The 26976-nt window shown below is 36.2% G+C and overlaps 1 protein-coding gene and 2 pseudogenes across 37 annotated transcripts in view; 2 read left to right on the top strand and 1 right to left on the bottom strand.

Annotated features, from left to right (window-relative positions):
- The window catches only part of APC (APC regulator of Wnt signaling pathway), a 138742-nt gene that overhangs the window by 63950 nt on the left and 47816 nt on the right, over window positions 1-26976 (top strand). For 32 of the 37 annotated variants that reach the window (NR_176366.1, NR_176365.1, NM_001407470.1 and 29 more), the window contains 3 exons: window positions 4182-4290; window positions 9343-9456; window positions 20999-21082. Coding sequence is in view for 31 of the 37 variants with exons in the window: in NM_001407447.1 (NP_001394376.1) it covers window positions 4182-4290; window positions 9343-9456; window positions 20999-21082 (307 nt within the window). In the remaining 6 variants the exon portion in view is untranslated. The remainder of the gene's footprint in view (window positions 1-4181; window positions 4291-9342; window positions 9457-20998; window positions 21083-26976) is intronic. The other 5 variants (NM_001407452.1, NM_001407469.1, NM_001127511.3 and 2 more) reach the window with 1 other exon arrangement.
- Window positions 5996-6812, bottom strand: CBX3P3 (CBX3 pseudogene 3; annotated as a pseudogene).
- Window positions 6916-7022, top strand: RNU6-482P (RNA, U6 small nuclear 482, pseudogene; annotated as a pseudogene).

Here is a 26976-nt window from a genome sequence, read left to right on the forward strand (position 1 = left end):
TCTTGACTCTTGCTGTGTTGGAGAGAGATAAATTGATTTCTTGCTTGTGTGATAGTATACTTATTTTGCTCTCACACTTGATTGATAGTTCAGGTAGGTTTAGGTTCAAACTCATTTTTCTTCATTATCAAGGTACCAATGAGAAATTTGATACCAGTCTGAATCTTATTCCTTTGTAGATGGCCATTTTTCCTCTTTGGAAGCTTTTGAATGTTTTGGTATGCATATTTTCCTCATTCATCATGCTGAATATTTACTGTACCCTTTTGATCTGGAAATTTATTTATTCAGCTTTTTTCTGTTATATTACTTCTTTGATGATTTTCCCCTTTAGTTTTTTCTGTTCTTTCTTTCTAGACCTTCTTAAAGTCATAGTTTATATCTTCTTCCTTTATCTGTACTCCTCAAGATAAATGCTAGAAGTTGGTTAAGCCAGGACTTAAACCCAGCTTGTAGCTTTATAAGCTGGGTTTTGAACCTCAGTTTTCTAGTTAGTAAAGTGATCATGAGAATAACGACCTCAAAGGATATCATGAGGATTAAATTAGATTTTTTTAAAGTCCTTAGCACTATGCCCAGTACATACAGCATTCAATAATGTTAGGAATTGTTGCTGTCATGTTCACTATTAATTTATTTAACAAATATTTATTGAATGCTAATACAAATGTGCCATGCTCTTCTAGGTGACCCCCAGTAAGGTAGAGGACTAAGAAGACATGAGATTTATGTGAAAAAGCATTTTTAAAGAAGACCATTGGCAATCACAAAATAGGCCTTTAGTACACTAAACCCTAATGACTCTGCCTGTTCTGAGTCTAGCCTTAGTTTCAGTTCTGAGCCTTATGAACTGCTGTTGTGTGAGTCACAAGGTCAACTACCATAATTTAATCACTTGCTATCATTTTAGCTGAAGACACTATAACCTTGGCTTCCCCAGAGTATTTTACTACAGGTTAATCTTAAACTTGATAGTAGCAAATTGTCCCTAGTGTCCCTAACCTCCCCCTTACTTCAACACTGCCACTGACATTGGCCTGTCAATTTAAGCACTTTTAATGCCCAGCTCTTTTTTTTTTTTTTTTTTAAGACGAAATCTCACTCTGTCACCTAGGCTGGAGTGCAGTGGCACGATCTTGGCTCACTGCAACCTCCGCCTCCCTGATTCAAGAGATTCTCATGCCTCAGCCTCCCAAGCAGCTAGGACTATGAGTATCTGCCACAGCGCCCAGCTAATTTCTGTATTTTTAGTAGAGACGGGGTTTCACCATGTTGGCCAGGCTGGTCTCGAACTCCTGACTTCAAGTGATCCACCTGCCTCAGCCTCCCAAAGTACTGGGATTACAGGCGTGACCCGCCGTGCCTGGCCCCAACTCTTATTTCATAAGTTCATTTATTAGGAAGTAATGGAGGAAATAGTAGCATCACCATCTATTTTATTCTTTTTCCCACCTTGGACCTGGTAGGTCCTGCAGGTCCTCACTAGGGAAAACTGAAAAATAGAATTAAATCTCATCTTTATGGGAGTTGTGGTACCCAGCTGTGAATGGAGTTCAGGCTTTCTGCAGTGCTTTCTCCTGTTCCTGTTGTCAGAAATCGGAGGGAGAGAGCAGCTTGTCTTTAGTGTGCCTTTTCTGAGGGATGCTACATCATAAGCAGGGGCTTCCTTTCTTCCCAATCAGTCCATCACTATTAAGGTTGCCACATAAGAACAAAAGCTTATTTCTTATTTTTTAAGTTGCTTCTCAGTAAAGGAAAATACATTTTAGCAAGAACAGAACCTTCCACATACTCACTACTAAGATTCATTCCCATATTTCCTAAGAAACAATAATCAAGCAGAACTTTTAAAGTAATAGTATCAGAGTGGGGAACGTCTCTCTGTATGACCAAACTCCAGAATCTGTAATAGAAAATATCTACAAATCGGACTGCATGGAAATCAAAATTTTCTACATGGCAAAACGTTACAGTTGACCCTTGAACAATTCAGGGATTGGCGTACCCACCCACTACGTGCAGTCAAAAATATATATATAACTTTTGACTGCCCGAAAACTTTACTGATTGCCTGTCTATTGACCTGAAGCCTTACTGATAACATAAACAGTCAAGTAACAAATATTTTGTATGTTATATGTATTATATACTATGTTAAGTTAGAGAAAACATGTTATTAAGAAAATCATAATGAAGTGGAAGGGAATTCTTGTATAAGTGGACCCATGCAGTTCACACCCATATTCAAGGGTCAACTGAGTAAAAAATGTTAAAAAGACAAGTGTCAAGTTCAGAAAATTATATGCAGCCCAACAACTGACAAAGCACTATCATTTTTAATATAGAAAAGGTCCTACAAATAAGAAAAATCACAGAAAAGGAAATACAAATGGTTTATAAACTTGAACAAAATGTTTAATCTCACTCATAGTAAGAGAAATCAAATTAAAACCAGTGATACACCATTTAAAAAAACTAGACATGAAAAAGCAAAAAGTTGAATTAAACACTTAAATTGGTGATGATGGTAGCATACATTGGTATAACATCTCACAAGGGCAGTAAGTTAAAAATTTATATATTCTAGGAATTTCTTTTATATAAATGAGTGTATATGTATTAAATGAGGTATAGGTATAAGGCTATTCAATGCAGCATTGTTTATAATAACAAAAGATTAGAAAAGCCTTAAGTACCCTCCAACTAAGAGTTGGTTGTAGTGTATCCCTACATAGATTTATGAATACTAGGGAATTCTTGGAATATTATGTAGCTAACAAAAAAAATACCTAGTATAGATTGAGCATCCCAAATCTGGAAATAGAAAATTCTCCAAAATCCTAAAGTTTTTGAGTAACATGATGCTCAAAGGAAATGCTAATTAGAGCATTTTTGGATTTGAGATGCCCAACTGGTAAGTATAATAGAAATATTCCAAAATCCAAAAACACTTCTAGTCACAATCATTTTGAATAAGGGATACTCAACCTGTGCCTATTTGTGTTCTGCAAGATCGATTTTTTTTTTTTTTTTTTTTGGAAAGGAGTCCATTGCCCAGGCTGGAATGCAGTGGTATGATCTCAGCTCACTGCAGCCTTGGCCTCCTGGGCTCAAGTGATTCTCCCAGCTCAACCTCCCAAGTAGCTGGGACTACAGGTATGCACCACCACACCTGGCTAGTTTTTGTATTTTTTTGTAGAGATGGGATTTTGGGGTTTGGGTTTTCATCATGTTGCCCAGGCTGGTATTGAACTCCTGAGCTCAAGTGATCCACCTGCCTCGGCTTCCCTAAGTATTGGCATTACAGGCATGTGCCACCACACCTGGCCCCCAGGATCAATTTTTAAGTGAAAAAAAGTTGCAGGACAACATACACTATAATAATATGCTACAATTTATATTTAAAATGTACATATAAGTATGCACATATGTCCTTGTATTTTTATAGAATAGCTCTAGAAGTATACCTAAGAAAATTATAACAGTGGTAGCTCTGGCAAAGAGCCACGTGAAAAGAGATAAATTATATACTTTTTGTACCTCTTGAGTTTTATCCCTGTAACACTCTTACTGTGCATTTATGTTTATAATGCTCAGGTATACAGTTTCTTAGTACAGATTGCTATGGAGAACACCATCATTTGGTGTTCAGATTCCAAACTAAGAAGTTTTTCTCCGTCATAACTTCCTCTTATTTCAAAATGACAGTATATTTCTTATTATTTTGGCTGCTGTGAAGCTGAAAGCCACATCAGTGTCCAAAGTAATAGCTTCTTATATTCTGGGTTTGTTTTCTGGGCATCATTGCTGCTTTTCTTATTTCCTTTACTATACTTTTTATTCTTATATTAATTTTGAGTTTTGTTATATGTGTATCTTTTACCTATCATTATATTCTTAGACTATAAATATGAAGAAAGCCTTTGGTGAAGTGTAAGTATTCTTTTAAGGATGATTACCAGTTTATTTAGAAAAAAAGTTCTTTTTAATACTCTAATTTTAATGACTGTAATATTCTAAGTCCTACCTTTAAAAATTGAAATCAATGTAAATTTTTTGAGTAATTCATTATTAGCACTTTAGGTAGAGAAGTTTGCAATAACAACTGATGTAAGTATTGCTCTTCTGCAGTCTTTATTAGCATTGTTTAAACGTACCTTTTTTTAAAAAAAAAAAAATAGGTCATTGCTTCTTGCTGATCTTGACAAAGAAGAAAAGGAAAAAGACTGGTATTACGCTCAACTTCAGAATCTCACTAAAAGAATAGATAGTCTTCCTTTAACTGAAAATGTAAGTAACTTGGCAGTACAACTTATTTGAAACTTTAATAACTTGATATTTTAAAGTACCTAGGTAATCCATTAAAATTCAGGATAACTGAATTTATAGTTATTTGTAAATTGCAATATGTTTTACCCAACTTTAGGCCTGAATATATAATAGTTAATGAATTTTTGTTGGTAAAGATGATAAAACTTTATTGTGCTCAAATGTTTTATTTAAAGCTCTTATTTAGAAAATCTATAAAGTTTGAATTCTAGAGGACCTCAGGGTTCAACTAGGCAACTAGTTTTTTAACTCCGTGTATTGAATTGCCAAACATACTCTATAGAAATATTTATCACCATCTGCCTATTTTTTGTACTGTGTTGCAGGAATCATGCCAAATAGTTTTTGCAATAAAAATATCTCTGAAAATATTCTAGATATAAATGCCAATAGCTATAGCACGGATATTAGCATTTTTGCAAGCACTAAAGCTGGTTTGTTTTGTCCACCAGTATTCACAATAAATTAACAGTATGCAGTTGAATAACATTCTGATTTACTACAAAGGGTTATTTTTCTTGGCCTCTGCTGAACCAGTAAAACATATACTGAAAAGATCGAACCTGCATATAATGAATGTGTTGGAGTAAAGAAAAAACATGCAAGTCAATAGTTTAGATTACAGAAGTTTGTTCACCGATTTATGACAGCAGGTCCTAAACTGCCAACATCTCTAACCATCTGATTAGGTTTCCATGAGCCAAGTCTTAGATATTCCATGAATCATAACCTTTTAGTCAGTGTAACACAGGGATTTCAACTTTTTGTTAAGAAATGACTCAACATGGTGGAGGCTTATGCCTGTAACCCCAGCACTTTGGGAGGCTGAGAAAGGTGGATCACTTAAGGCCAGGAGTTCGAGACCAGCCTGGTCAACATGGTGAAACTCTGTCTCTACTAAAGTAAATACAAAAATTAGCCAGACATGGTGGTGCATGCCTGTAATCTCAGCTACTTGGGAGGCTGAGGCAGGAAAAGCACTTGAACCTGGGAGGCAGAGGTTGCAATGATCCAAGTTCATGCCACTGCACTCCATCCAGCCTGGGTGACAGAGCAAGACTCCATCTCAAAACAAAAAGAAAAAATAAAAAAAAAAATAAATGACTCACTAGAGGAATCTTTAAGTGTCCATTTAACTGTCTTGTTTAGCTAATTAAAATACACTAGGATTTGTCTGGTTTCCTCATCTGGATGTTGCTAGCAATGGTAACATTTTTCATTTTAGAAATTTTGCAAACCATTGCATTTATAGATATGAATTCTGATATGGCTGCTTTAAAATTATCCAATTTAAATTGTCCAATTAAAATCATTCATTTAACTTGAAATGTATGACTTAAGGAAATTTTTCAATTTAACTTGAAGTGATTTATTTTTCTTAGATTGTTCAGAATGATGGCATTTCAGAAACATTGGATTACCTGTGATTTTTGTTTTGGTAAATGTTTAAAAACAATAAAAAAGGAAAACATTTACGTGTGCATTTTCTTTATACACACACACACACGAAAAAAAAACAAGTAAGAAACCCAGAATGGTCCTTAGGCATATGAGAACAGAAGTTCTGATTGAGTAATGGCTATGGAAATTTCCCCTAATATATTTAGAAAAGCTGTTCTCTCATGCAGTGGATATAATATACCATGGTATCTAATTTTTCTTTCTGATGAAGGAAGCAACTACAGAAAGCTTTTATTTATTTGTTCAAAGTGACCAGTGCAATTAATGCAAAAGAAAATCCACAGCAACTCTCCCAATACTACTTTCAAAACAAACATACCAAACTTGATTTTCATTAAAATGTAGTTATTTCTTCACACTAGTAAATCAAAAACCAAGACCCATATAAAACAGGGCGAACAATTACTGTGCTTCATCTTCTGGACAAGAATGCCAAGTTAGTTTCTCTTTTATAAGCAATTACATTTTGAGGACCCTTCATATTTGCCTCTTTTGCCAGCAGCAACTCTGCCTAATCTGAATCCTTCCATTTCATGAGAAACAGCAGTTCTCCACTGCTGTCTGTGGCACCAATTACTCCTTCAGGATCAAGACATCTGGCAAAGCCTTTTAGTTTGTCAGCAGCATCCCTTCTCTTCTTTGATTTACTGTCATCAGATTCACTGTCAGATAAAGATTTTCTGTTTGTGCCATCTTTTTCTTGACTAGTTTTTTGAGAATTAAGAAATGCTTCAATTAACCCTGAACCATCTAAATTTTCTTTAGGTTCCCAAGTGTTGTCAACATCTGTAAATCCCTTCCGCTTAAGGAAATATCCCACTTTCCTATTCACTACACGTCAGTCTAGTACATTTTCCATCACAGATTCTTCCGGCTCTGCCTCTTCATCTTTTTTACTCTTTCCATTCTGTTTGTTTCCTATTTTTTGCAATGTAGTTTTATTGGAGGCCATTTTTTATTGCAGACTTGAGGAGCTGATATTCACCACCTCCAAGCTGCTCTGGGTTATAGGTCTGCAGTGTTCTGTAAAAAAAAAATTCTAATCCTGTCAGCCTCTCCCTCTCCATGTCAATGATTTTATTCATGGGATGGCACATATAAGAATATTTCTCAAATACATTTATAGTGGCTGCGTCAGCAGCACATATCCTAAAACTGGAATGAGGCAGAGGAGTTTAGCATGGCCCTTGCTCAAGGATGACATGGAAATTGATGAAGTATTCTATATTTAAAAAAAAAAAAAAAGAAAATTATATAATCTCAAACAAGACTACATATTTTAGCTATTATCCATAAATATTTCACGTAACTTATTTTTTTTTTTTTTGAGATGGAGTCTCGCTCTGTCGCCCAGGCTGGAATGCAGTGGCGCAATCTCAGCTCACTGCAACCTCTGACTCCCAGGTTCAAGCGATTCTCCTGCCTCAGCCTCCCAAGTAGCTGGGACTACAGCATGCCACCATGTCCAGCTAATTTTTTGTACTTTTAGTAGAGACAAGGTTTTGATGTGTTAGCCAGGATGTTCTTGATATCCTGACCTCGTGATCCACCCACCTTGGTCTCCCAAAGTGTTGGGATTACAGGTGTGAGCCACTGCGCCCAGCCACATGTAATTTTTTAAAAGAAAATAGACTAATTAAAATATAACGTACTCTCTTAGCTTAGATTTTTCATTTTCTACTACTACTTTGAGAGACCAAAATAGACAAAAAGGTAAAAACTGAAAGAGAGAAAACCGTTTTGAAAACATGTAGCTAGCCAGGTTTCCTGAGTGGACGTTGGCTGACAGGAGGTGGAACTGGAAGCTTAAGTGCTCATTCTCCTAGAATAATCATTCAGGGTTTTGAGAGAGAAAGGATCCCTTTTTCTGAGAGGGCCCTTAACATGTTAACACTTAACAGTGCTCCTGGGAATTAAGGAGCACAGATAATGAGAGAACAGTTATTGTTAGCCTGTGAGGATTAGGAATTTTGGGGGATTTGTTGGGACTATAACTTATGAAGAAAAATACCAAAGTGTAGTTTTGCTTACCGTTAATTTTGGTCATTAGAGAATATACAAAAATCCAGAATCCCACTGTCTACATGAAGTCAGGTTCAGGAAAGAGCTTAAATGTACATGACAACTCAAGAGTATTTGGTTACTATCTGAAACAAAGATCAGTTGTCAAGTTAATTATTCTCTACTAATTTATTAAGTAGATCACATTTATTTAATATGATATATAAGACATTATCAGGCACCATTGGCAACATCAGCAAATTTAAACTCTGCTTGTATTTTATAAGTATTTTTTATTTTCACAAATTTTGCATTTATGTTGGGAAGCCAAGCTAATGAACACTTTATGTGGAAATACCTACTTATCAAAACATTACTGAAAACATCAGATCTAAACCACATTATTGCAACATACTGTGTCATGTTCAATTTTTTTTTTTTGCAGAGAGGGTTTGGGAAGTGGAGGACTAATAAGTGGAGTTACAACTGGCTCAGTAGGAATAAGAAATAACATGCAGACTATTTCATCTCTATTGCAACCCATAATTTGGGTATGCCTAAGGGAATGCATTCTGCATATGAATGTCATCTGTATGTTGCAAAGGGAAAAGGGTGAGAACTAATCTAACTACAACTGACAACACAATTTGGAGTTCTTGGACCAGAATGCCATTCTGAGTCAGATATATGTCATATACAGTTTTCTAAGGGCACACAGAAAATCTATAACATTGCCTGATTCCCTTCATGGCCCATTATAAGTCTGTTACCTATCATTTTATTTAATCAGCTTTTATTGCCTTTTGGGCATGGGTTTATATGTTTCATTACCTTGTCCTTTTAAAATCCTGTTGCATGCTTGGCAGTTATCACAGTCCTTGGAATTTTAATTAAAGGGTTAATAAATTTTTGAATGAGTTATTACCCATTCTGAAGAAGTACCTCTTTTTGTTTCAACTTTGCTTTACTTTTGAATTTTTACCAAAGTCTGTGTTGACTTTATCTACTCTATTTATGATTATCTTTCTTACATGTAGGCTTTTTCTTGTCCCATATTCCTCATTTGATTAATGAAAAAGTTCTCTCAACTTAATCTGTATGTATATGGTAATCCTTACCTTAAGTTGAAGTATGAGCTTAAGAATGATGGACTTGTTTCTTGATATTTCTATGTTGTCCACGTTAATATGCTAGTATTTAATAATTAAAAGTAGTGCCTCTTCAGTAGAGAAGAGTCATAAGGCAACTGAATTTAACCTCACTCTAACTGGACCAATTATATATTTTAAGTGAAATAGGCCAATCTAATTAAAGCCACTTGTGACTTTGGCAAATAAGTGTTTGAATTCCACGTCACATCAGGGATCCAGATTGAGTCTGACACCTATAATCAAATTTAAACACTCCTTGGAGTAAAAAATAATTTTCTCATGCACCATGACTGACGTATTTGCTTATTCATTTTCTTTATTGGTTCTTATATGCTTTTTTGCTTTTACTGATTAACGTAAATACAAGATATTGATACTTTTTTATTATTTGTGGTTTTAGTTTTCCTTACAAACAGATATGACCAGAAGGCAATTGGAATATGAAGCAAGGCAAATCAGAGTTGCGATGGAAGAACAACTAGGTACCTGCCAGGATATGGAAAAACGAGCACAGGTAAGTTACTTGTTTCTAAGTGATAAAACAGCGAAGAGCTATTAGGAATAAAATGAATTACAGCTCTGTTAATATTGATTAAATTTTATTAAAGACATAAGGCTGTGTTTATTTTGGCTCTATTTCAAAATAAGATTTATCATGGCTGCTGAGCAACATAATCAATATTCACATAGTTGTGTCTTTACCATATTCATTTCCCCTGGTACTGTTCTGTTCTGCCTTGGAATTATAAGGGAGAGACAGAGTTAGATGGTGGTCTTCCGGTAGCTAATGACTAGCTTCAGTTCTCCTTTGAAATTTTTACTTCTTGTAATCTTAGACTGTATAAAGGCATTCAGAACATGTCACTGCTCTTCAAATTGTGCACTTAAAAAACCCTCATTCAAGGATAATAGGAAGGAAACAAAGAGAATTTTAGGAGAGATGAAGTAAGTTGTATGGAGAACATTCCCATATTTCTACCCTCAATGTCAAGAAAGAGTATTAGCTAGCTTTGCTATTAAGTATTTTTATATATTATTGAATATAGCCTTTTTATATTCAAACAAGTTTATGACTGACTAATGTTTTAAAGCCCTGAAGAGGCCTTGCCAATTGCCTTATCTGTTTCAAAACTAGCGTGGGTTGTTGTTTTCTTTTTTAACTTTTGGGACAAATTGGGAGGAAAACATTTAAAGATTTTCTTTAAGTAAATATAGCAAATAAAAGCAGAGACCAACATTTACATGGTAGTGATACACATACATTTTGTATTCTATAAAACATATTAAATAGTTTTAAAATGGCTACTGTAGGATATTTTACATTCCTTGAAGTATAGTCTTTATTTTTTTTGTGACACTTCCTAAACATAATGATTTTTTTTTTTTTTTCTTGAGTCTCACCCTGTTGCCCAGGCTGAAGTGCAATGGCATGATCTCACCTGCAACTTCCGCCTCCTGGGCTCAAGCAATGCTCCTGCCTCAGCCACCTGAGTAGCTGGGATTACAGGCGTGCGCCACCATGCCCAGCTAGTTTTTGTTTCGCCATGTTTGCCAGGCTGGTCTTGAACTGCTGACCTCAAGTGATCCACCGGCCTCAGCCTCCCAAAGTGCTAGGATTTAGAGTCATCATGCCCAGTGTATTAGTTTGTTTTCAGGCTTCTGATAAATACATACCCGAGACTGGGCAGTTTACAAAAGAAAGAGGTTTAAGGGACTTAACAGTTCTACGTGGCTGGGGAATCCTCACAATCATGGTGGAAGGCAAGGAGGAACAAGTCATGTCTTACATGGGTGGCAGCAGGCAAAGAGAGAGAGACTGACAGGGAAACTCCCATTTTTAAAACCATCAGATCTCGTGAGAATTATTTACTATCACAAGAACAGCACAGGAGAGACCCACCCCCATAATTTAATTATCTCCCACTGGGTCCCTCCCACAACACATGGGAGCTGCAAGATGAGATTTGGGTGGGGACACAGCCAAACCATATCACCCAGCCTAAACATAATGTATATTCTATCTGTTTTGGAGTATGGTGGAAGGCTAAGGTGCTACTAAAACACCAGTACCATACTACATTTCATAGTCCATACATGTTAGTTTCATAGTGAAGGTTAAGATCATAATGAGGTTGGGGGCTTAACTAGTGTTTGTGTGCATGTGCATGTATGTGTACATGTTAGTTATAATACGTGTATATATCATTTTTTCTTACCTTCCCTCTTGCCCCTATCCCAGTCAGAAAGATTCGTGACTTAAATGTCAAAAGTAAAACTTTAAACCTTTCAGTAGAAAATATACATAAGTATGTTTCTGATATTAGAGTAGGAAAGTATTTCTTAAGAAAGACTTAAAACGCTAATGATAAAAGACCAATAAGTTTACTGTATTAAAATTAAGAATTTATCTTCAACAGGTACCTGAAAGAAAGTGAAAAGATAACTTACAAATTGGGAGAAGATATTTATTACCATATAACTGGCAAAGAACTAAAATCAAGAATATATAAATAACTTCTAAAAATACATTGCATTTTACATTTAGATTTAAATTTTAGATTTTCATGGAATTATTTTAAAATGTTAGGTTTATTTGTTTCAAAAAAACAAGTATTACTTTGGTTTATATGAATTTGCATTTTTAGAACATGAATATATGGGATACTGTAGACATAAGTTAGTTTTTCTGTGTCTGTTAATGTGAGCTTTTTTTTAGAGAGAGAGATCCTAAAAGAACAAGATGTGATGGTAGTTGTAAAAATTCTTGTGCTATATAAATATAAGTAGGTGTATTCCAGACATTTTATATCCCTGAGGAGAGGTTAACTTGAGTTCTTTCTTGGCCATTTTGTTCACATAAGCGCTGATACTGTCATTCTTACTTTATTCTGGAATGCCGTATCCTTCATTTTGGTAGTTAATATTCTAAGGAAATTTTATTCTGTATTTTGAGAAACATACGTGTTCATTTATTCTGGAAATAGTTATATGAAGGTTAAGGTTAAAGAAATTGTAAACAAGATAAAAAGGCAAATAATGGAAATGTTGGTAGAATATATAAGAGATTTAATATCCCTACTCTACAAGGATCACCTACAAATCAATTGAAAATGGTCAACCATGCCAGGCATGGTGATTCACACCTGTAATTCTAGCACTTTGAGAGGCTGAGGCAGAAGGATCACTTGAGCCCAGGAGTTCGAGACCAGCCTGAGCAAGATAGCAAGACCCTGCCTCTACCAAAAAAAAAAAAAAAAAAGCTGAGTATGATGGTGCACATCTGTAGACCTAGTTACTTGGGAGGCTGAGGCTGAGGAGGATCCCTTGAGCCCAGGAGTTCAAGGCTGCAGTGAGCTACAATCTCACCACTGCACTCAAAAAAAAAAAAAAAAAAAGAGAAAGAAAGGAAAGAAAAGAAAAGAAAGAAAACAGATAACCAAATAGCAAAATAGTCAGAAGATGTGAATAGTTCCATCAGAAAATTAAGTTCAAGTGTCTAATAAACAATTGTGAAAAGATGCTTAAACATCACTACACATCAGGGAAATGTAATATAAAGTAAGGTACTATTTTTTTTTTGCCTATCAGCTGCCCGAAACTTTATAATTTTTGATGACATGCAGTATTAGCAAGGGTGTGAAAGTAAAAACATCATCTACCTTTAAATCTTTTTTGTTTGCTTTGTTTTTTCTTTTTGAGACACAGTCTTGCTCTGTCACACAGGCTGGAGTGCAGTGGTTTGATTTCGCCTTACTGCAACCCCCACCTCCTGGCTTCAAGCGATTCTCATGCCTGAGCCTCCTGAGTAGCTGGGACTATAGTTGTGTGCCACCACGCCCAGCTAATTTTTGTATTTTTAGTAGAAACAGGGTTTCACCATATTGGTCAGGCTGGTCTTGAACTCTTGGCCTCAAGTGATCTGCCTGCCTTGACCTCCCAAAGTGCTGGGATTACAGGCATGAGCCACTGCACCCAGCCAACATTGTCTGCCCTGTTCTTTTAAGAATAAATTGATACATTTTTGGAGGACAATTTGGCATTATTTGCCAAAATTAAAATGCCTGTGCTCTATGACCGTGTGTTTCTATAGGACTTCTAGGAATATGTTGCGTACAGAAATACTTACTTTAGGGCAGAATGTAGATACATATTTTAAATTATTAAATGAATAGTATGCAAGCTATTATAAAATACCATACTGAGAATAGTGGGAATATGGTAGCCAAAGCACTCCTTTCCCTCCTAACTCCCTGCTTGGGTGATTCAGCAAGTGAAACAAGAACGGCCCTGGAAGAGGAGATCTCAGGAGGGTCTGAGGCTATGAGAAAAAATATGGGATCTCATTTGCAAGGGGAAGGAGTAAATAAGAATTCCAAATAAAATAAGAATAGAATGAAAGTTTTTAAACATAAGTATTACCACAAACCAGAAGCAAACCTTATATTAAGAAAATAGTGACTGAGTGAAATAGCTCAGGCCTGTAATCCCAGCACTTTGGGAGGCTGACGCAAGAGGATCACAAGTTAGCAGTAGTGTTGGCACACAACTGTAATCCCAGCTGCCTTAAGGAATGCTGAGGTGGTAGGATTGCTTGAGCTTAGGAATTAGAGGTTGCAGTGAGCTATGATCATGCCACTGCACTCCAACCTGGGTGACCGAGCAAGACCCTGTCTTGAAAAAGAAAACAGAAATAATGAGGTAATCATTGTTGCTATCATTAATATGTTTGAGTAGCTTGCCGTCATCACTATTATTTAACTTTGTTTGACAGGCTTGACTAATGCAAGTAGAAAAAACAAAATAAGTGTTATGAATCCTACACTATTTTTGAACTAGAAAGGAAGAGATTAAATAATTATTTGTAAATGATGTGGTGGTTTGCCTAGAAAAGCTATACAAAATGAACTAAAAAGTATTTAAACTAGTAAGAGAATTTAGTAAGGTAACTCAAGTTAAGATACATACAAAAATCAGCAATAACTACCAGTTAAAGGTGGAAATGGGGGTAGGAGGACCTGTTCACAGTAACAGGAAACTTTAAAGTAACTAGAAAAAGCCTGCATAAAGAAAAACATAAAATTGTTGAAGGACACTAAATTTTTTGGAACCTAGAAAAATGATTATAAAGTTTATAATGCAAGAATTTCCAAAAACATTTATGAAAGAACGCATAATTGAAGATTTACCTTACCATTTGTTAAAATCTATTGTGAAGATGTTGTAATAATCACAGTATGATAATAGCACAGGAATAAATTTAGGCAAATGATAGAGACTAGAAAGAGGTACAGGAATATTTACAACCTTTATATGACAGAAGTTACATTATAAATTTTGGAGAAATTGATAAATTACTCAATAAATTATATAGGTACAACCAATGACCTGTTCAGAAGATGAGAAATTAAACCCTTACCTCACATCTTAAGAAAAGTTATAGGTTGATTAGCTATTCAAATGTGAAAAATAAATCTAAAATTAATAGAATAAAATACAGGCAAGAGATCTTCTTAAATATGAATGGAAACTCAAAAGCAATAAAGAGGAAGGAAAGTTGGGATTTATCTCATAACATTTTAAATCATTCATTGCACAAAAGATAAATTAGAAAAATACTTATAACACATAAAGGGGAAAATGGTAATATCTCTAAAATATAAGAATTCCTACAAATGAATAAGAAAAAGACAACCCTGTGTTTTTGTTTTGTTCAGAGAGGGGGTTTTGCTGGTTGCCCAGGCTGTAGTGCAGTGGCCATTCACAGGAGCAATCATAATACACTACAGCCTCAAACGGCTCTAGCAACCCTCCTTCCTCAGCCTCCCACATAGTTGGGACTTTAGGCGTGTACATCGCACCTGCCTAACCCATGTTTTTTAATGGACAGAGGATGTAATAAGGCAGTTCATTAAAAAGATGGCAAATGACCAGTAAAACACAGATGACTAGTAAATAATTTAGGAAAACTCAAAATCCACTTGTGCCTACCTATGTGAGATTGTTAGTCTCCAGGTACCTCTTAACTGCATGGTTATTTATTTACTCTTACTTGTTCAGTGTGTATTTGGTCACCTAGTATGGTGGTACTTACCCTTCCATAGGCATGTAAGCAAAGGTTGGAAAAGTGCACATCAGTTTGTTAATAGAGCTTACTACTGGGATGTGGGAATTGGTGGGGTGAAGGTGTAAGTACACCTCTATATTGCCATAATTGATGATACTGTTTAATGTAGTTTATCTCCTCCCTAGTTGATGGACACTTAAGTTGATTCTAATTTTTCAGTTAAAAACAGCACATGTACCCTAAAACTTAAAGTATTAAAAAAGAAAACAGCTCTGATAAACATACTTATTCATGTCTTGTAAACAAACATGCAAGAGTTTCTCTAGGTGAGGAGTCAGCAATCTTTTTCTTAGAAGGCCACATAGTAAATATTTAGGTTTTGTGGACCATATGGTCTCTTTTGCAACTACTCAACCCTGCCTTTTTCTTTTTCTTTTTTTTTTTTTTTTTTTGAGTCAGAGTCTTACTCTGTCACCTAGGCTGGAGTACAGTCATGCAATTTTGTCTCACTGCAACCTCCGCCTCTAAGGTTCAAACGATTCTTGTGCCTCAGGCTCCCAAGTAGCTGGAATTACAGGCATGTGCCACCACGCCTGGCTAATTTTTGTATTTTTAGTAGAGACGGGGTTTCACTATGTTGCCCAGTCTGGCCTCGAACTCCTGACCTCAGGTGATCCACCTGCCTCAGCCTCCCAAAATGTTGAGATTACAGGCGTGAGCCACCACTCTCGGCCTCAACCGTGCCTTTTAACAAGAAAGCAACCATAGATAATTTATGAACACAAATGGGCATGGCTGTGTTTCAGTAAAACTTAATTTATAAAAACAGATGGCTTAGTAGGCCCTAGTTTGCTGACTGTTGCCCTAGCATATATATCTAAAAGCATAATTACTGGTCATAAGGTATGAGTGTTTTGAATGAGTGTTTGCCAAATTGCTCTTAAAGTAATCTTTTTAGTTTACATTCCTAATAGTAGTATGTGACAATTCTTGTTTCTGTATGTCTTCTCCATCACTTGTGAGTCAGAATTTATCATTAACAATCAGTGGGTAGTGAAACATTTTGTCATCTTAAACTTTGTATTTTCCTGAGCTACTGAAGTTGAATCTCGAAAATATTTATTAGATTTTGGGGTTTTCTTTCTAAGTTACTTCCTCATATCCCTTGCTCATTCCCTACTGTTAAATGTCTTGTTTTCATTTGTTTGAGAGATGTTTTAATATCCTCTTGATACCAATCCTTTGTAGATAATATACATCTCAATTCCTCCCCACCAAATCTGTTATCTGTATTAGCCTCATAACAAAAATAAACTTTTATGATAGAGCTAAATTAGTTATATTGCCAGATTTATACATCTTTTCCTGTACTGAAGTCGTAAAGGTAATCTTCTATTAGCTCCTTAATTCATCTTGAGTTTGCTATTATGTATGTTGTGGAGGCAGGAATCTAACTTATATGTATATTACTTATATATGTGTGTATGTGTATTATACATGCACATGATTTATACATGTGTGTATATATAGTTATGTATAGTCATACATACATATATTTATGTTGTTAACTGAATTTCTCATTATCATGTATTGGATACCGCACTAGTTCCTCATCGATGAGTAATGTCATCTCTTATCACATAACAAGTTTATATATGCTGGATATTTCTGGACTTTCTTCTGTTAGTCCACTTTAGCTTCTCCATGCCTGCACTGATACCACATTTTTTATTTGCTGCAGTTTTATAAATCTTGATATCCAGTTGGGTGAATCGTTCTTTGTTTTTAAAAATGTAGTATTCTGCCTTATTACTCTTGTCATGTAAACTTTAATGTCAGCTTCTAATTCAGATAAAAGCTTCATGGGCTTTTGATTAGAATTACATTAAATTTATAGATTAAGGAGAAGTCAGACCTTCATAATATTTAGTCTTGGTTGAAAGGATGGACTCTGGAACCAGACCTTCTATATTCAAATCCCAGACCTGCCACTTAGCAACACCATGATCCTAGGTAAATTCTCTGCCTCAGTTTTCTTGTCAGTACAATACAGATAGTGATAAACTGTAAAATGTGAGGATTAAATGAGTTGATATATGTAAAAGCACTCAGAACCTGGCACATAGTAAGCAAATTATTAGGTATTCTTACTAATTTTATATCTCTCTATTCATTTAGGCTTTATTTTATATCCTTCAATAAGGTTTTGTCAAATTCTTCACAGGGGTCTTACATATCATTTAAAAAAGTTATTCCTAGATATGTTACAGTTTTTGTTGCTATTATAAGTGAGAATTTCTTTAATTATATTACTAAATTACATTTAAGTGAAAAGTATCCAGCAGTCTTCCTGAAATATTTTATTATATCATCGCCGGTTTAAGATTCTATACACTGTCATATTGTTCGCAAATAATGACAGTTTGTTTATCCTTTCCAGTCCTTACAGCGTTTTTTCTTTTGTTGTATTGTGTAAGAACTCTAATACATCTTTGAATGGAAACAATGATAGTGGTCTTCTTTTTCTTGTCTTGACTTTAAAGGGAATTCTTCTAAAATTTCACAGTTAAGTGTGTTGTTTACACAGTTAAGTGTACCCTTTATCAAGTTAAGGGATTTACCTTCTATTCTAATTTGTGGAGAGTTATCCTGAATCTGTATTACTACTGCAGTTTTTAAAAATCACTTTTTTCTAAAGTCATATCAAGTCCATACTCCTGAACAGTTTGTTATTAAATATAACTTCACAAATATTCTTGTCATATAGAAAAAGGAAAGAAATACTTAGTGGTTAAGCATCCTAATCCAAAAATCCAAATTGTGAAGTGCTGCAGTGAGCATTTCCTTTGAGCACCATGTGGGTGCTCCAAAAGTTTCCTGTTTTGGAGCATTTTGGGTTTTGGATTTTTGTATTAGGTATAGGGATTAGGAATACTCAAGGTGTAGTGGCTTCTTCTATTTTCATATTAGAAACAGAAGCACAAGGAATGTCATGTCAGAAACCATCCACCTCACTGGACATCAAGACATAGACATGACCTCAGTATTTAGTGAGATACTGGCAATATGGAAATGTAGTGTAAAACGGAGAGGAGTGGGAGATATAATTTCCTATTTTCATCCTCTAAATATTAAAAATTTTTATTTAGGCCTATATTGATGGAAGGGAGCTAATTATATAGAAACTGATTATATAGAAAAGGAGGAAACAATCAAATTTAGAAATCCAGTAATTTTATGTAGCTTGGCTATTTCTCTAAAGCTAGGAAGTACTTGCCACCTGGTTATGGAAATGATCACTCATCTTTGCAATATCTTTAGAAAACTAGCAAAAGTACAGGTACTTCTTCAGATGGTTTTCATACTGTGAATTGGACATGGTAAGATTTGTTACTTAAAGAATATTTTTTTTTTTTTCTATTTTTTTGAGACAGTCTGGCTCTGTCTCCCAGGCTGGAGGGCAGTGGCACGATATCGCTCACTGCAACCTCCGCCTCCCAGGCTCAAGCCATCCTCCCTCCTCAGCTTCCCAAGTCACTGGGACTACAGGCGTATGCCCTCATGCCTGGCTAATTTTTGTATTTTTTGTAGAGACGGGGTTTCACCATGTTCCCTAGGCTGGTCTCAAACTCCTGAGCTTAAGCAGTCTGCCCACCTTGGCCTCCCAGTGTGCCGGGATTACAGGCCTGAGCCACGGTGCCTGGCCTGAGAATATTTTTTTACCTTAAGTTTACTACTTTCAGAATCATGATAGAGACTCAGCTTAGTTATATTGTTAAAAAGAAAGAAAAGAGGGAGAAAATTAAGATAGATTAATTTGGGACTGTGAGCACAGCTTCTTGTTTTATTTGGGTTTTTTTTGGGGGGTGGGGGTTGTTTTTGTTTTTGTTTTGAGACGGAGTCTCACTCTCGCCCAGGCTGGAGTGCTGTAGCATGATCTCAGCTCACTGCAACCTCTGCCTCCTGGGTTCGAGCGATTCTCCTGCCTTAGCCTCCCGAGTAGCTGGGATTACAGGCACGCGTCACCCATGCCTGGCTAATTTCTTTTTGTATTTTTAGTAGAGACGGGGTTTCACTGTGTTGGCCAGAGTGGTCTCAATCTTCTGACCTAGTGATCCATCTGCCTCGGCCTCCTGAAGTGCTGGGATTGCAGGCGTGAGCCACCGTGCCCGGCAGCGAACACAACTTGAGTTTTCTGTTCTTTGTTTATCATAAGACTGGATGATAGCAGTAAACATTTTTACTATGGTAGTAAGAAAAGCATGAAGGCATTGTATTTAAGTAAAACTAGATGTGATCAAAGAGTAAGTTTTATAACTGCATGTATTTAAAGCTAATTGCCATAGTACTTTTATTATTTATCTGTTGGGGGTGATATTTGTTCCGAAATATTTTATTGATGGAGAACATAACTGAAAAATGTTTGGAAATACTCCATCTAGCTTCTAACACACACACACCCCTTATTGAAACAGTTTACTTTTATAATATAATTTTTGATTTCTCAATATTAGGATGTCAATAACTATAGAATTATTACAGAAAATGGTACAACATTGTCAGTACTTGTTTTTAAAACATATGTGTTTGATTTGTCATAAACTAGCTTTATGAGACATTTGCAAAGTCTTTATTCATAAGTGAGTTGTTTTTTCCACTTCCACTAGTATTCATAAAAGTTAAAATGAAGTCTAGCTTAAAAAACACACACACACACACACAATATATTCCCCACATTGTTTCCATTCCATGTGGTTCAATCTGTAGTTACTGCTTTGTGACCAGTTGATGGTCTCCATATAGTGGAAAAGCAAAAGCTCTATCCTCTTTATGATCCTAGTGTTGGAGAAAAAATAATGTTTAGCCACAGTTAGGTACTTGGAAAGGCTGAAAAATACTACTAACTTATGACAGAAGTAACTTTGGGGAAGAGTTGGGCCTACTGTTTAAACCAGGGGTCCCCAGCCCCCAGGCCACGAGCAAGCATTACCACCTGAGCCCTGCCTCCTGCCACCATCAGTGGCTGCATTAGGAGCATGAACCCGCTTGTGAACTGCACATGTGAGGGATCTAGGTTGCGGGCTCCTTATGAGAATCTTATCTAATGCCTGAGGACCTGAGGTGGAGCAGTTTTATCCTGAGACTTCCCCTGCCCCAGTCAGTAGACAAATTTCTTCCACGAAACCAGTCCCTGGTGCCAAAAAGGTTGGGGACCCTGATATTTATTAAAACAAATCAGATGTTCTTTCCCTTTACTGGTATACTATGTTTATATAAATTTATTATATTGTATTAATGTCTCGATTAATATAAAAGATTAAATGCAGGTGTAATTTTCTCTTTGTTGAAATATTTTTTGAGAATAAATTTTCACAATGTGTATTGTGTCAATTTTCATAATTCATGCAACATACAATTTGATATATGACTTGTATTTCCAGTTTTACTAAGCAGATCTAGACATCTGTTGAATAAAGTCCAGTGTATTACAAAAAATTGAACTGACCCAGGGCCGGGCACAGTGGCTCACGCCTGTAAGCCCACAGCACTTTGGGAAGCCGAGGCAGGCGGATCACAAGGTCAGGACTTCGAGACCAGCCTGGCCAGTATGGTGAAACCCCATCGCTACTAAAAATACAAAAATTAGCTGGGCGTGGTGGTGCGCGCCTGTAGTCCCAGCTACTCGGGAGCCTGAGGCAAAAGAATCACTTGAACCCGGAAGGCGGAGGTTGCGGTGAGCTGAGATTATGCCACTGCACTCCAGCCAGGGCAACAGAGCGAGACTCTGTCTCGAAAAAAAAAGAAAAAAAGAAAAGAAAAATTGAACTGACCCCAATTTGTTATTAAAGGGTGAATATATTTATATGTCTAGCTTTTTAAATGAGAATGATTTGACATAACCCTGAGCTTTTAAGTGGTAGCCATAGTATGATTATTTCTATTAATATTATTAATAAAAACATAACTAATTAGGTTTCTTGTTTTATTTTAGCGAAGAATAGCCAGAATTCAGCAAATCGAAAAGGACATACTTCGTATACGACAGCTTTTACAGTCCCAAGCAACAGAAGCAGAGGTTAGTAAATTGCCTTTCTTGTTTGTGGGTATAAAAATAGGTAGTTATTCTGAGAAAAGAAAACATGTATAATTTAATGTGACACCATTGAAATATAGATGTTCTTTCAGAGAATTTAAATACCGTAATTTTTTTCGTGAAATTAAATTATCAAAGATTTGGACTATTTTGATTTTATCTAACTTTTAGGCAGTTAAAATTTATAAAACTGTAAATATAGATACCTTACTTTAGCTGTCAGTTTACATATAATCAAATAGTTAACTTAATTTGGCTACTATCCAGTAAGTAAACTTTTTTATAGATAATCCATAGTAAGAATTGATAATACACATTTACCTGTGTTTACTCCAGAAACCCCATTAAAGTGATAGTAAAAGGATACAATGAAAGAGGCATTAAGACCAGGGAAGGTGACCACAGTAAAATCCGTGGAGCTGGAAAGCAGGTAAACAAGTGATAACATTCTAGCATATCAGAGAGGGTTGACCCATAAGGCAGCAATAGGAATGAAAAGTCATGAAGCAACTAGATACCTCTGGGTGTGAGAGTAAAAAAGGGTTAAAAGCAGGAAGATATTTGAAAATCTGTTAAGAAGCAGATGGACTTTCCAGAACCTCCCTACAACCCTGTACAGCTAGGTGACTGCTCCTTTCCAATCCCAGCAAAAGATGAGAGCTTTCTCCTCTGAAGAGGTGGAGAGGGTAAACAAAGGGTCTTTGGTTAGGGGTCAACCTTGTTTAATTGAACGTGAGGGTATCATACGAAACACTGAATTACATGAAAATTTACCTACTGAATGCTGAAACCCCCACTGGCATCCAGGCTTATAATCTCCAGGCAAGTTTCTGGAAGGAACTTCTATAAGGAATGTGACTAACCCTGATTCTGCTGAGAGAACATTAAAAAGGGAGAAAAAAAATCAGAAGAATGTGACTAACCCAAGAAAAAAAACTTAAAGAGACTTACATGGAAAAATTCACCCAACAAAACAACCCACCTAGATCACCCTATAGGGTAATATAGTTGACAAAATCCATTCTTCAGGCATAGAGCTTCATTTAACTTTTTCATAGATAGCCCGCTCTTAAATATGAGTGGACACTAACTACCAGACAGTATAGATCATTCTAGGAAGGTTCAATATCCAAATAAAAGGAGTTCCAAAAAGAAAATGGAGAAACTGGAGACAGGAAATTAGAGAAATAAATCAAAATTTCTCAGAAATTTTAACAAGGGGCTTAGTTTTCCAAAAAATTGGTCTCTCCAGTATCTAACATCATGTATAAGAATAATCCTACACTAAGACACATCATGAGGAAATTTCAAATCACTGGGGATAAAAAGAATATTCTAACAACCTTCTGGAGAAGGAAGAGAAAACAAATTTCACATAAAGGAACAGGAATGCAAATGCCTTTACATTTGTAAATAACAGCACTGGAAACTGGGAAGTAGGGTAGGCATTTCTTAAAACTTTTCTTTTTTTAAGAGACGTGGAACTAAGTCTCTTAAAAAAAAAAAAAAGGTAGGATGATCTAGCTGGGTTGTTTTGTTGGTGAATCCTGCCATGTAAGTAAGTCTCTTTAAAAAGTTTCTGTCACCCAGGCTGGAGTGCAGTGGCGCAATCTCGGCTCACTGCAACCTCTGCTTCCTGGGTTCAAGTGATCTTCCCACCTCAGCCCCCGAGTAGCTCATGTGCCACCATGCCTGACTAATTTTTGTATTTTTTGTAGAGACGAGGTTTTGCCATGTTGCCCAGGCTGGTCTCGAACTCCTGAGCTCAAGCAATCTGCCTGTCTTGGCCTTCCAAAGTGTGGGATTACAGGCGTGAGCCACTGCGCCTGACCCCTGTTAAACCTTTTAAAAGAAAATATGTGCAGCTATGTTTTGACCCCAGTTCTTTGACACCACTGTATATCCTCCAGTTGGGTTCAATTTTGATCCTAACTACCCAGAGTTAGAGTCAGCTCCACAAGTAAAAGACAAAGTCAGTCACAAGACTGTCCACTTCAAACGCCAGCCACAAGTTTTGGGTGTCCCTAAGCCACCAGGACTGCTGCCAAGCTGTCTATAAATTCCACCCCGTGTGCGTGTGCTGTGGTACCATTCCATTCTCACACTAACTACCCAGAGTTAGCACAGCCCCAACAGGTTAAGAGCCGACTCCTTCACAAGACTGCTCCCACCTCAGATGCCAGCCACAAATGTTGAGTATCTCCAAGCCACTCACATTTCTGCCCAGTGTGTTACAAATTCCAGGCTTCCACATCCCCTTCACGTTCAGTAATTCATTAGAATGGCTCACAACTCACTGAAAGTGCTATACTTAGGATTAACAGTTTTATTATAAGGATACAGATCAAGAATGGCCAAATGAAGAGACATATGGGGCAAGGCCTAAGGAAGGGGTGTAGGAATGGGGATGGGGGTGCAGAGATTTCATGCTTTCTCCTAGTGGAATCTAGGCATGTCACTCTTCTAGCACTTCATTGTTTTGTTTTTGTTTTTGTTTGAGACAGAGTCTCGCTCTGTAGCCCAGGCTGGAGTGCAGTGGCGTGATCTTGGCACACTGCAACCTCCGCCTCCTGGGTTCAAGCGATTCTCCTGCCTCAGCCTCCCTAGTAGCTGGGATTGTAGGTGTCTGCCACCATGCCTGGCTAATATTTTGTATTTTTAGTAGAGATGGGGTTTCACCATATTGGCCAGGCTGGGCTTGAACTCCTGACCTCATGATCTGCCCGCCTCGGCCTCCCAAAGTGTTAGGATTACAGGCATAAGCCACCGTTCCCAGCCTTTTCCAGCACTTCAGTGTATTCACCAATCAGAAAGCTGCACTGAGTTTTGGTATCCATAATTTTTATTGAAATTTTATTCTGTAGGCATGATTAATTAAATAATTGGCCACATGAGGATTAAACTCGATTTCCAGCCTCCTTCTCTTCCTGGAGGTCCGTCTGGCCCAAAGTTCTAACTCTCTTATCACATGGTGACAGCCACCCATCTTTTTGCTATCTGGTGGCCTACCCTGAGTTGCCTCATTAGCATAACACACACCCCTATCACTCGAGAAATTCCAAGGGTATTTGAAGCTCTCTCAGGTACAAATGAACAAAGACCAGCTATATTTTTTATTATACCATTCTAGCCTTTAATCAAAGTGTTAAATTTGAGAGTGGAATAAAGACACTTTTAGATAGGCAAAGTGTCAAATACGTTTTTCTCATGCACCCTTTTCTGGAACCTATTAAAGGATATACTCAAGTGAAATCGAAATGTAAAGCAAGAAAAATGAATTTTTTCAACTCAAGACCCAGGGGATATAATACAAGAGAAAGAGATGAGTGAAACTACAGAGTAAAGATGAAGGGACATCCTGAGATAAATGGTAAAGAAAGCAACCAGTCCATATTGAAACTATTGAGAGGATTCCAGGAGAGATTAAGTCCAAGAAGATGAAATCAGCAGAATACCTGCGGTTTCTGAATGTATTGAAGGGAAAGGAAATTTACACAGTAGGAGAGAAGCTGAGCATCAGTCATATGTACCCAGAAACCCAAATGAACAAAAAATAAAGATAACCTTTAACTCCATGGACAACAGGAAGTTGTAAAGGAAGGTGATTATAGTATACCATCTGCCAGCTATGATTAGAATTTCATAGTCAAAGTAATGTAAATAGTGGAAAATTTGTGTAACAATAAAGTGGAACTGAAATGAAGCATTCAACTGAAAAATGCAGAACTAGCCATTGAAGCAGGTTATTTGGAGATCGGAGGGGGTGAGTATCCCCCCTTCCCCAAAAACTCAGCTGAAAGAGATTAGAAAGAAAGAGTTCTTTCAAAAAACATTTTCATCCATGTCTGGCTTTTTTAATATCTGAGGAACTTTGGATTTAGTACATCTGAATCTGAAATATGTAGAAACTTATTTGCTAAGTAGACAGTTTAAGTACAATGTGATAGTCATAATCCTAAAAGCAGTTTAACATGACTGTCTTAAGCAAATATAAGTCAAATATTTGCAATTTAAAGAATGTGTTCATTTTTGCAATGGACTCTTTTTTTACCTGGCCCTTGGAAAGGGCCAGGAAAAAAAGCAGTATTTTTTTGCTCCTTTTCAGTTCTGTTGGTATTGATGTATGTAGCATTCTACTTATTATGACCTTTTTGGCTTTCTACTGAAGTTTTTATGTGTCTTTCATCCTTAAGCAAATTTGTTTTGGTCTATTTTTTAAATTATTTTTAAATAGGCAGTGTTTTGTTTTTAATTGAATAGCTTTAGTTACAGTTAGTTCTTTCCCCCCCATCTTTCTTGTATTCTGATTATTACTGTTTTGCTGCATCTAACAGGTTTTGATATTTCTAAATCAATAGTCACATTTTTTTCTAGTTGATTGAATCTTTTATTTATGTAATATAAAATAGCCCTCTATTTTATTTAATGCTGTTCACCTTCAATTTCATTGTAGTACCATTTATTAATAGTAATCCTCATTTTCCAGTACTGTTACAAGTTTCAGGTTGGAAACTTGTTTGTGTTTCTTGTATCTGTTCAAAACTTTTTATTCATATTATTGGATTTAGGGCAGACTGTCTGCTACTATGATCCAACCTCTTATTGCTTCCTTTTGTTATGATAATAGTTACATCAGTTGCATTATTCTGATAGTTTGTAAATGTAAGCCAAAGGAAGGTGCCATTTCACATTTAAGAAAGAACAAAACCACTTTTTACAATTTTGCCGTTTGTGGTTTGTTTATTGCATTATTTTATTCTTCTAATGTAAGTTAGAGGGAGAAGCTAGAAGATGGAGAAAATTGGGGATTGGACACTTGCAAATTAGTTCATAGAGCAGTAGATATGAGAAAGGGAAAAGCTTCTGCCAAATAATTTCTCTATCATGAAGCATATTTCTTATAGCATTTTCTTTGGCTACCTGTATTATAACTCTGGTTTAAGGTCTAGATGCTGGACGTGATTTAAGTCTACTAATTATTACACATGATTCAAAACTCAGAAGTTACATAAAGGTATGTGAGGCAACCAGTGCTGTGACTTTCTTGTGTGTTCTTCCAGACATAGTTTATTTATTAACAAGCAAGTACATTGGGTGGAATGGGAGCTGTGAGGACAATGCAGTGTGTCTTAAAAGATAATAGCAAATGAAGAATACTTACTAAAGTCACAGTATTCTTGCAACTCATTAATAAAGATAAATACAACTCACCTTTTAAGTGGGCAAAAGATTTAAATAGGCATTTCACCACAGAAGGTATATATAGGAATGGCAAATAAGTACATGAAAATATGCTCAATCATTAAGGAAATGCAAATCAAAGCCCAAGTGAGATACTGCTTCACACCCATTATGATGGCTTTAATCATAAAGGCAATAATAAGCATTGACGAAGATGTGGAGAAGCAGGATCCCTCATTGCTGGTGGGAATTTAAATAGTACAGCCACCATTTTAAAACAGTTGAGTGATTCCTCAAAATATTAAACATATAGTTATGTGACTCAGCAATCTTACTCCTAGGTATCTGGCCAAGAGAAATGAAAATATATGTGTACACAAAGACTTAGACTTGTATGTTCATTCACTAGCAGCATTTTTTCATAATAGCCTCAAAGGAGAAGCAGTGCAAATGTGTATCAACTAGTGAATAAATAAACAAAATTTGTTATATCCCTTCAGTGGAATATTATTCAGCAATTAAAAGTAAGTTACTGATGCAGAATTTATAACATGGATGAACCTCCAGAACATGCTAAGTAAAATAAGCCAGAGATATAAGTCCATTTATATCAAATGTCCAGAAAAGGCAAAATTTCTAAAGACAAAAAGTACATTAGTGGTTGTCTGACTGTAAGTGGAAATGAGGATTAACTG

This window comes from Homo sapiens, chromosome 5, assembly GCF_000001405.40.
Source record: "Homo sapiens chromosome 5, GRCh38.p14 Primary Assembly".
Classification (NCBI taxonomy): Eukaryota; Metazoa; Chordata; class Mammalia; order Primates; family Hominidae; genus Homo; species Homo sapiens.